General features: G+C 39.2%; 1 long non-coding RNA gene across 4 annotated transcripts in view; it reads left to right on the top strand.

Moving 5' to 3' along the window:
• Window positions 1-2,206: 2,206 nt before the first annotated feature.
• Window positions 2,207-11,239, top strand: part of LOC105375974 (uncharacterized) — a 248,630-nt gene continuing 239,597 nt past the window's right edge. For all 4 annotated transcript variants that reach the window (XR_007061893.1, XR_001746618.1, XR_929476.2 and 1 more), the window contains exon 1: window positions 2,207-2,278. This is a non-coding gene — a long non-coding RNA (uncharacterized LOC105375974). The remainder of the gene's footprint in view (window positions 2,279-11,239) is intronic.

Raw genomic sequence — 11,239 nt, 5'->3', positions numbered from 1 at the left:
GAGATTGAAACACATTATTCCCCTCTGGTTCCTGCTACTTTTCTAGTTTTTATGGCTACAATGATGGTGAAGCTGTTCGTTTTTGAAACCGCCTTTGCAAAAAGTACAGCGGTGGGAAAATTACAGCTATGGGGGAGATCTGACCTAGCATTACTCGTTGTGTCTTTAGCCTTCAACCTGCTTTAATTATTCTTGGGCTTAGGCTGGGCTAGCTGTGGGAGCATTTAGTTTATAGTTTAAATGATAATGGCCCTTCCCCGAAGCTCAACCCCCATTTATAAAGTTAATGGGAGACCATTAGACTAGAAGGAGGAGAGAAGCCTGAGTTCTGCTATGATGTAGACATAAACAGTTGCCAGCCATTATTCTGGAGGTCAAAATATATGCAAATTTCCGAATTACTTCTGCAGATACATCACTATTGTAGAACTTAAGATTGGCCTTTTGAGATATCTTTTCATTTTTTGCATGTCTGACACCCATGGATCCATATAGACCCACCAAACCATGGCTCTTGTGCCCCACCCCGAAGTGACTCAGCACAAGAGAACAGCTTCCACTTCCTATGATTTCCTCTCCAACATAACTAATCAGCAGCAAGCACCCATTGGCTAGTCACATCCACCCATTCCCCCAAACAACCTTTGAAAAGCCCCTATCCTGTTAGCCTACAATAAGATGGATTTGAGTACTAACTCTGTCTCCTGTGTAGCTTGACCGGCCTCATGTCAATTAAACTGTTTCTTTACGGCAATGCTGTGGTCATTGTGCAGTGGGCATGAAGAACCCATCTGGTGATTACATTATTGGGGGATGAAATAGGGAAAATTTAAATGCCATGAATCTCACCATTCTTACCAAAATTCAGCCATTTTTCTTAGATATATATTTCTCTTAAACATTAATTTTGGCAATTTTGCCAGTTTCCTGTGTTTTTACAGAACAGCAGGTTTTTGAAGGTTTTTACTCTACCATTGCTGAAATCATCCTCAGTATTTCTCCTAAATGTTGGGTAAAATTTGCAGAAATCTTCTGAACCAATAGAACATTTTTTCTCCTGAATATTTTTCTCACAAATTTAATTTTCTTAATCTAAGACTATTTCTTATCCAGGACTTGATTCATGACTATTCATGTTATCTGTTTCCTCTTGAGTGTACCGTTTAAAAAAAGTGTACCGTTTAAAAAGTGTACCATTTAAAAAAAATTCTTTGCAATTTTCCCCTATTAGTATTTAAATACTTTCATGGTATGTAGCAATGTTCCCCCTTTCTTTCCTGATATTTGCAATTTGTGTGTACACTATGACTCACTTCTTTTTCCTGGTCAATCTAACTTGATAATTTTCTTTTAATAGATTTTTATAAATAATCATACATTTTCACTATTTTCTCTATTGTTTTTCTGTTCTCAATCCCATTGATTTTGTTTTTATGTTTAACTTCCTTTGATTTTTGCAGGGGAAGGAGAGCAATTAGTTGTAATTAGTTTTTTATTTTGTTTGTTTGTAGTTCCTAGTATGAAAGCTTAAAACACTCATGCCTTAAAACTCCAGAAAGCACTGCTTTAACTACTTGCCTCAAACTTCAATATCTGTAGTATTCATTTTTATTCAATTCACCGTATTTTCCAAAATTTGGAGGCTTCTATTTTGGCCCAATACATTGTATAAAAGGTGTTGTTTTATTTACAGATATGTGGGAAATTTCTGATATCTTTAAATTATCAAATACATTAAACAATTGTAATAACTTTAATATGTTAAAAATTTAAGTAGATGAAGACAAACTCCATTAAAAAATGACATCTAAATTTAGAGATAAAAGCTAAATAGGCACATTGGATGAGATTAAAGGCACAGTAGATATTACAAAGGAAAAAAGCTAGTAAACTCAATAATAGCAATAGGAACTTTCCAAAATAAAACACACAAACAATAATATACCTGAGCTATGTGACCTCAGGTGGCTACATATAAGTGTTAGTGAAGTCCCAAGAAAAGAATAGAGAGATGTGATTAAAGAGCAAATATTTGACAAAATAATGGCTAGAAAATTTTGGAATTGATTAATCATTTTCTTCTGTTATATGTTCTTCTTAAAATTTTAAATATATTGAATGCAGTTATAATAACAATTTAACATTATTGGTAATTCCAATAAATGCTTTAATTGGATTTTGATGGATTAATATTTCTTTCTTAACAGGTCATATTTCTCTGCTTCTTTGCACGCCTGATAATTTTTAACTTGATATCTACATTGTGAATTTCACCTTGGTGAGTGATGAATATGTTTATACTCTTATAAATTGTTTTTGACATTTGTTTTGAATCACACAGGCTATGTAGAAACAGTGTGATCATTTCAGTTTTTGTTGTTAACAACTGTTAGGCATTATTAAAGCAGTATTTAGTCTATCGTTAGGTATTCTACATTTCTGAGGCAAAACCATTCTGATTACTGTATCTTATCTAATGACCCAGTTGTCCTGAGTTTTTCAATCTGTTTGATGGGAAGAGGTACTACTCCTGGCTCTGAGTGAGTGCCAGGCATTATTCTCTTGTATGACTTCGGGTGTTTCTCTTCCTATTCTCAAGTAATTTTCTTACATGCATGTGCTCATAATCATTTTGCTAAATATTCTAGGTGGAGTCTACAGATCTCTGTAGTTCTTTCTCTGTGCAGCTCTTTGCTCTATGATATTCTGTTCTACAAACTCTAGCCACTTTTATCTTCCCATATTCTTAGCTCCATCTCCTCAAATCAAACAGTTGTCTGGGCTCTGCCTAAGTTTCCTCTCCCTCTCCCTACACTGTAGGCTAGAAGCTCACCCAAGGTAATCCAGAGCCCAGCTGTTTTATTTTGTTTTTTTGTTTGTTTGTTTGTTTGTTTGTTTGTTTTTCCTATCTTTTAGGGATTATTGCCCCCCTTTGCCTCTGTTTTGTCTTTTCTTCATTGTTTCCTTCTTTCCCTCCCCTCCAGGCCTCCAGCACAAGACAGGGTTTTCCCTGTCTCCCCACTCCTCTGTTGCCAATCCTGCTTGCATGTGCTTAATGAGAAAAAGAGGAAAAAAGACTGAAAGCAGTTTTGAATTCTCCATGTCTGGTGCTACAACCGGTTCTGTAATCCCCTCAAACCAGGCCTTTGGCCATTTGCTAAAATTTGTAACAAAATTATGGTTTACAAGAGGTCTGGTCTCTCTCTTAGAAAAGCAATTGTGTAACTGGGTTTTCTTACTGCCTGCTGCACAAAAAAAAGTCAGTTCAGGAAACTGCAGTAAAGAGAGTTTAATTGATAAAAGGCCACCCATGCCATGCCAGAGATGGAGTTATTACTCAAATCAAGTATCATCAAGGGCTCATAAGTTAGGAGTTTTTCAAAGGTAGTTTGCGGGAAGTAGTAGTGTGGCAACAGTGGGTGCTTGCTGTTGACCAATTGGGCTGGAGATAAAATCATAGGCAGTGGAAGCTGTTCTCTTGTGCTGAGTCACTTTGGGGTGGGTACAGGAGCCATGGGCTGGTGGGTCCATGTGGAGCCATGGGTGTCAGAAGTGCAAAAAACCTGAAAATGATTCGGAAGGGGGGAATGGCATGGTCCCTGGCTAGGGCTCCACCCCCGGCCCTGTGCTCACGGACCTAGGTGAGGACAGGCATTTTTGTTTTCCTGCCCAAATGTTGCATTTCTGTCCTGGCCTGCCATGCCCCCATCCTGTGCATATGAAAACCTCAGGACCCTAACAGGTAGGCACACAGGTGGCTGGACATCGAGAGGAGCACATCAGTGGAGGAACACACGGGTTGCTGGACATGGAGAGGAATGCACCAACAGGCACCGGCAGCGGGGAGGCCACTGACCGGCAGAACAACGCAGAGTTTGGCTGGGGCAATTGGAGGAGAGCCTGGAACACTGAGTGGCCCAACTCCAGGGGAAAACCAGTCTCCCTTCTGGCTTCCTCATCTACTGAGAGCTACTTCTACTCAATAAAACCTTGCACTCATTCTCCAAGCCCACGTGTGATCCGATTCTTCCAGTACACCAAGGCGAGAACCCCAGGATACAGAAAGCCCCCTGTCCTTGTGATAAGTCAGGGGTCTAATTGAGCTGACTAACACAAGCCGCCTATGGACAGCTAAACGAAAACAGCACTCTGTAACACATGCCCACGGGGGCTTCAGCTGTAAACATTCACCCGCTAAACACTGCAGTGGGGTCAGAGCCCCACAGCCTGCCCATCTGTATGCTCCCCTAGAGGTTTGAGCAGCAGGGCACTGAAGAAGCGAGTCACACCCCCATTGCACAGCCTGCTAGGGGGACAAGGGAACTTTTCCCATTTCAGAAAGATATCTCAAAAGGCCAACCTTAGGTTCTATAACAGTGATGTTATCTGCAGAAGTAATTGGGGAAGTTGCATGTCTTGTGACCTTCAAAATAAATGGCTGGCAATCTTTTATGTCTATACTTTGAAGAATTCAGGCTTCTCTCTTCTCCCTAGCCTGGTGGTCTCTCAGTAGCTTTACAAAGGCAGTTGAGTTTGGGTGAAGGGCTATTAACATTCAAAGGATAAACTAAATGTCTACTAAAGTTAGCTATGCCTAGGAGTAATTAAGACAGCTTGAAGGCTAAAAGCAGGAGAGGTTTTGGCTAGATCAGATCTCCCCAAATGCCATCATTTTCTTACTGATATAATTTTTGCAAATGCAGTTTCAATTGCTTGCGCCACATTCTTTCATGTGGGTGCCTGGATCTGTGAATATTTCAACTTAGTTGATTGCTGTGAGACTTCAACTATGAAAAATTCAAGAAAAATTGTGATTTTGCATTTGTGTAGTAAGTTTGCAGGAAGGATACCATCCAGTTTTCTTCATCTTATCTAAAGCTTATGCTAAAGTTATTTTTAGCATTTTTTTTTTGTGGGAATGAAGGTTAAGAATGGTGTTAAAAAACAAGAAATAATTGTAAAAGCGCCTAACATGCTTACCTTTTGTCTTTAGTATTTGAATTACTTTGCAAAGGCTGCCATAACAAAATACTGAAGCAGGATATTTCCCTGACCCTCTTCGCAGGCAGGAACTGGAGTGCATGGGCACTGACATGGGTGAACTCCACTCACTTGCTGCTCCACCCATTGTGGGAGGGGGAGCACAGGTGAGTGGGTGCAGGAGCCAGGGCGAGCACTTTTGGGTGCTGGCAAGAGTAAATTCCGTACCGGTCCTGTGGCAATGTCTAGGGCAGGATGGCCATGATCCCTGAAGCCCCAGAGGAAGTGTTGCAGTGCCGTTTTAGCTTTGCCATCTGCAGATGGCTTAAGTGTTAATAGCTCAGTGAAGAGTCAGTGTGACAGCATTTGAATCCACACTTGTGGCACATGAGTACCTGTCCGGCGACCAGGAGGAACAATGTCGCATGAATGAATTGAAGATAGTAAATGTGGAGGATTTTATTGCCAGTGATAGTGGCTGTCAGTGGGAAGGGGAACTGAAAAGGGATGGAGCAGGAAGATAATCTTGTAGGGATGACTGCACTCCTCTCCAAAGCTATGCTGTCAAGCTGTCCCTCTGAAGTCAAGCCACTTCTCTCTCACATCTAACCCTAGCCTCTGATGTTCAGCTGCCTCTCCTCTCTCTGCTGGTTAAGCCTGAGGTTTCTAATGGGCACAGGATCGGAGGCAGGGTGGGCATGGGTGGTTTTAGAAAAGGCAGTAGTCAAGCGGGAAAACAGGGATGTAAGTTCTCACTTTGGTCCTCACCAAGGACCTGTCCTCTTCTGCCCAGAATTTCTTGCCTCCTCTTCCTATCAATGCTATAGACTGGGTAGCTTAAACAATATAAATTTATATTCTCACAGTCCTGGAAGCTTGAGTTTCAAGATGAAGTTGTTGGCAAATGTGGTTTCTTCTGAGGCCTCTCTCCTTGGTTTGCTGCCTTCTCAATCTGTGACCTCCTCACATGGTCTTCCTTTGGTTTGTGTCTGTGCCCTACTCTTCTTTACTTTCTTTGCTTTTTTTAGACGGAGTTTTGCTCTCATGGCCCAGGCTGAAGTGCAATGGCGTGACCTCAGCTCACTGCAACATCTGCCTCCCAGGTTCAAGGGATTTGCCTGCCTCAGCCTCCAAGCAGCTGGGATTATAGGCACCTGCCACCACGCCTGGCCAATTTTTTGTATTTTTAGTAGAGATAAGGTTTCACCATTTTGGTCAAGCTGGTCTCAAACTCCTGACCTCAGGTGATACACCCGCCTGGGACTCCCAACTCTTCTTTTCTTATAAGGACCACAGTCATAATTGGATTAGGACCCACTTATCTGAACTTATTTTACCTCAATTACATCTAAAGGACCTATCCCCAAATATAGTCACATTCTAAGGTTAAGACTTCAACATATGAATTTTATGGGGACCCAATTCAGGCTTAAAACATGAGTTTAATGTGACTCTAATCCCAGCTACTTGGGAGGCTGGGGCTGAAGGATCACTTAAGGTGGTATTCGAAGTCAGCCTGGGAAACAGAGGGAGACCCCATCTCAAAATTAAAAAAAAAAAAGATCAGTTTTGCAACTAAGCCCTAATTTTTGTTTCTTATTATAAACTAAAAATAAAATTCTAATGCTCCCCAACCATCTAAATGGACTTCCTCCTCAGCCAGGGTGCTTTAACTGGAAAGACTGGTTCAGGCCATGATGGGAAGTAGGGGTCGGACATGCTTCATTCTACCTCTCAGGCATTAACATCAACACAGATCTTAAGTCTGATAAGAAACATTTACAATCTATTCTTTCTGAAGCCTAAAACCTGAAGGCTTCATCTGCATAAAACTTTGGTTTCCACAACCTCTTATGGCAACCCAGGCATTTCCTTTCTATTGATCCCAGGTCTTTAGATAAACTCAACCAATTGTCCACCAAAAAATTTTTAAATCTATCTGTAACCTGGAAGCCACCCCACGCCACCCCACCCGACCCCCAAACACCCCTCCCCATCCTTTTCAAGTTGTCTCACCTTTCTGGACCTTACCAATGTATTTCTTAAATGTATTCTATTGAAGTCTCAAGTCTTCCTAAAACATATAAAAGCAAGCTGCACCACAATCACCTTGGGCACATGTTCTGAGGATCTCATGAGGGCTGTGTCACGGGCCACAGTCACTCATATTTGACACAGAATAAATCTCTTCAAATATTTTACAGGGTTTGACTCTTTCTGCCAACAGTCTATTTATGTAAACCTCTTTTTAAATGTTTTAATTTAAAAGAAAGAAGGCTATTTTTGGATGTTTGAAGAGTTAATTCTCATATACAAACACAAAACCAGAAGAATACCAACCAAATAAAGCTAAATTTGAAATAAATATTAGGGTCGTAAGCCTATTATACAATTAGCTACAGCTACTACTACAATGTGTATACGTAAACACTTCTGAGCTAAACTAAACAATATTTTAACTCCATAAATCTAGCTGTTGCCTTTACATTATGAGGTGAGATCCCTTAAGATTAGAAAAATTTTTATCCATTTTCAAGGTGATAAATTGTCCCTAGTATCCCTTAAGATCAGAATTTTTTAGCCATATTTAAGATGATAAATGTTTCTAGTCAGGATTTTTAACTATGGAGAATGTATATGTTATAAAAATAATTTCTGTAGACCAGCAGAATCATATAAATTAGAACTATAAAAACCCAAAGCCTCAGAGGTAATTTAGATCTGCCACTGATAGTTTCTTTCTTATATTACTGTCAACAGCATTTGCTCCAATTTAAAATGTAATAAAGATGTTTCCCACAAAGTAACTTAAAATGTTTGTTGATATGCAACACGATTATCTCAAAGTATTTTATTACTTATCTTATTTGTCTTTTATCTGTATCAGTTGTTAGTTTATATGATGTATATGTATATATACACACACACACACGCGATAGTTTCACTTAGTTTTCTCAATTCTGTGATGCATAAATGTGTAGGCTCTTTTTTTCTCTGAATCATCAGAGGTATAAGGGATTGGAAAACATTCCCATATACTATTCCAATCCTTAATGCCAAAATGAAATTCACCACAGTTTAAAGCTTCTTCATGCTGGTATTAAATCAGTCTTCCAGCACTGTATTTGAAATTTATGTCAATCTTGTATGCTCTCCCCTTCATAGATTTTTGGTATTCTTTCAAGACTTAGCCAATGACAGCTACTTAAATTTTACACCCAAAGCAAAAATTTCAGGAAATTTCCCCAGTCCTTTAATTTCTTAAACTCAGATACTCTGTTATTCATAGCACCACTATTAATAATGAAGGAAAAACAAAAGGGAAATTGTATGTCAAAAATATCAAATTCCAAAAGATCCCTTTCTCTCTGTAAAAGTAAACTTAAACATTATCTTTGTGTCTCCTGCACAGTTAATTTGTTTCTGTTCTACCAACCATTGAAGTCAAAGGACTCAATCACTTGTAACTTTTTCCAACAGGTAACAAATATTTTGTTTCCCTGGCAATAATAGTTCAAGATCATGCACACGAATAAACAAAGTAGAAATCATTTGTATTGTCTTGTAATAGCTGATATTTGCATGCATGTATAAAGTACTGATTGCAATTGTATCGAAATACCGTACTACACATAATATTGTGACTAAGTGTTAAGGAGCAAAAATGATGACAAATCCTCAAAATTGCTTACACAAAATGTGAACATCAGAAGCCTTATATTTTCCCCCAAAATACAGAGGTTTGTGCTTGTTGATTCTGATATGAAGTGATCTTCTAGGAAGTCAAGTATACATATTCCTATATTTATCTGGAAGTCAGCAAAATGTGTTTAATGTAGTAAACAAAATAAATATTAGAATATATATTAATATCTACTTAAAAGAGATTACAACTATCTATAACTACAGCTTTCACAAGCAAACAATAGAGGAAAAGTAAAGATCACAGATATGGCAATAACATACAAAAATAACAGAAAGCAACTCTATTTCAAGAAAATTCCTTTGGAATAAAAACATAGCAAAACCTAAGCAGCCATCTTTTTTATGGGATAGGTCTACAGGTTTGCTGACAGACAATGAAAGTTCCTTACTCTGTAATTATCTTGCCCTCAAAAGTAATTAGGTAAGCAATGACCCAGATATAATTGTTTCCCTTTGTTTTTCTTCATATGACTCTAATATGTGTTCCTGTCCTCTAGGGGCATTCTCACTGGCTCACTGGTTTTGGAGACAACACACACACCCCTGAAATATTTAAATAACAACAGAAAGGAATTTATGGATCTGAGCCTGTATTAAAGGTTTGAAGAAAATCACTTCTGAATTCAGTGTGTTTGTGATAAGAATGGCAAATTATGGCTGTTTGTGGTGATCAATATTAGGTGTCAACTTGATTGGATTGAAGTATGCCTACATAGGTGGTATAGTAGGTTTCTTGGTGTGTTTGTGAGGGTGTTGCCAGAGGAGGTTAAGTTTGAGTCAGTGAACTCAAAGAGGAATACCTACCCTCAATGTGGGTGGGCACCATCCGACTGGCTGCCAGAGTGGCTAGAACAAAGTAGGCAGAAGAAGTGACATAAGGTGACTTGAGTCTTCTGGCTTTCATCTTCCCTCTGTACTGGATGCTTCCATTCATTCCTCCTGCCCTTGGACATCAGACTCCAGTTTCTTCAGCCTTTGGACTCTTGGACTTACAGCAGTGATTTGCTGGGGGCTTTCTGGCCTTTGACCACAGACTGAAGGCTGCACTGTTAGCTTCTCTGCTTTTGAGGCTTTGGGACTCTGACTGAGTCACTACTGGTTTATTTCTCCCTCAGCTTGCAGACAGACTATCATTGGACTTTGCTTTGTGATCATGTGAGCCAATTATCCTTTATAAACTCCCTTTCGTATATACATACATCCTATTAGTTCTGTCTCTGAAGCACCCTAACTAATACACTGTTAAAACTGCAGTTAAGGCCTCTGCATTCCTTAAACTTTCTGCATTTACTCAGGAGTTCAGAATTACTCCTGTAATTGGTGGAAATGGAAATGGAAACCAAGTCTACAGGAGAAAGTTCTGACAGGGAGCTCTGGATTTGAGGATGGGAAACCATTGCCAGAGAAAGACCATGTGGCCAGGACCCCAGCTCAATACCAATCATCTGTGTGGCCCTGGACAAGGAACTTAATCTCTCTGGATCTCAGAATTTCCTTGTGTAAACTGGAAGATTTAATTAAACTAGCATTCATCTTGTTATATTTACAGGTCCTTAGGAGCCATTGAGGTGTCAGATGAAGGACACAAATGCTGGCCTCATGTCCCCTGACATCACTAACACCAATAAAAAAAAATTCCATTCTGATTTGTTGTGTGTATTGGGGATGAAAATATAATTATGTTTGAAAATGTTATATTATAAATAGATCAAGAACCATTGGCTTAGCTTTTTCCTCCTAGCTATGACGTTTTATTGAAATGTCACTGAAGAAACTCATTGATTATGGCAATATTGTGTTCTTCACATCACTAGAATATTGGGGAGACAAACTAACTGCAGATCCACATTGACAGCATGTGCTTTCACTAATAAAGCCCAAGTCACCCTCATCCATGTCCTCAAACAGCACTCACAACCATAAGAGAGCTGACCCTGAGGAGGTAAATCAGTGCAGATGAAACATTTATTGAGAGGAAAAACATGTGCTGAGTCTACAGGTGTGTGCCACGATGCCCAGCTAATTATTTTAATTTTTTGTAGAGGCAGGGTTTCGCCATGTTGTTCAGGCTAGTCTCAAACACCTGGACTCAAGCGATCCACCCACCTCGGCTTCCCAAAAGTGTTGGAATTACAGGCATGAGCCACTGCACCCAGCCTCATCTCTTCTTCTGATACTGCCTCTGGAGTGTAAAACTGACTGCTGTTGACCCTCTTTTTATCACTGATGTCAACACAATCATTTGCAAATCAGCTAATATTTTCTCAATGAGATGCTCAAGAATACCTTCTCAATAGGTTAAACATGTTTTAAGCCATAAATTAGTGTAGACTTGCACTATGTTCAAATTTCTATTTTATTAATTAGTTATTTTATTATTTGGCACAAAATTGCTTGATGCTAGGTAAGATGATTATACAATCACCTGTACCTGGAATAAGATGAAATTTCTTCTCTGCAATACTGAGTGAATGAATGTCACTTTAAATTTCTCAAGTATCAGAAAGGTTTCTTGTTAACATGCTATGGTAGAAACAGAATGGACTGTGTAGCT

The sequence above is a fragment of the Homo sapiens genome, chromosome 9 (assembly GCF_000001405.40).
Source record: "Homo sapiens chromosome 9, GRCh38.p14 Primary Assembly".
Classification (NCBI taxonomy): domain Eukaryota; kingdom Metazoa; phylum Chordata; class Mammalia; order Primates; family Hominidae; genus Homo; species Homo sapiens.
This window is presented reverse-complemented; position numbering and strand designations above follow the sequence as displayed.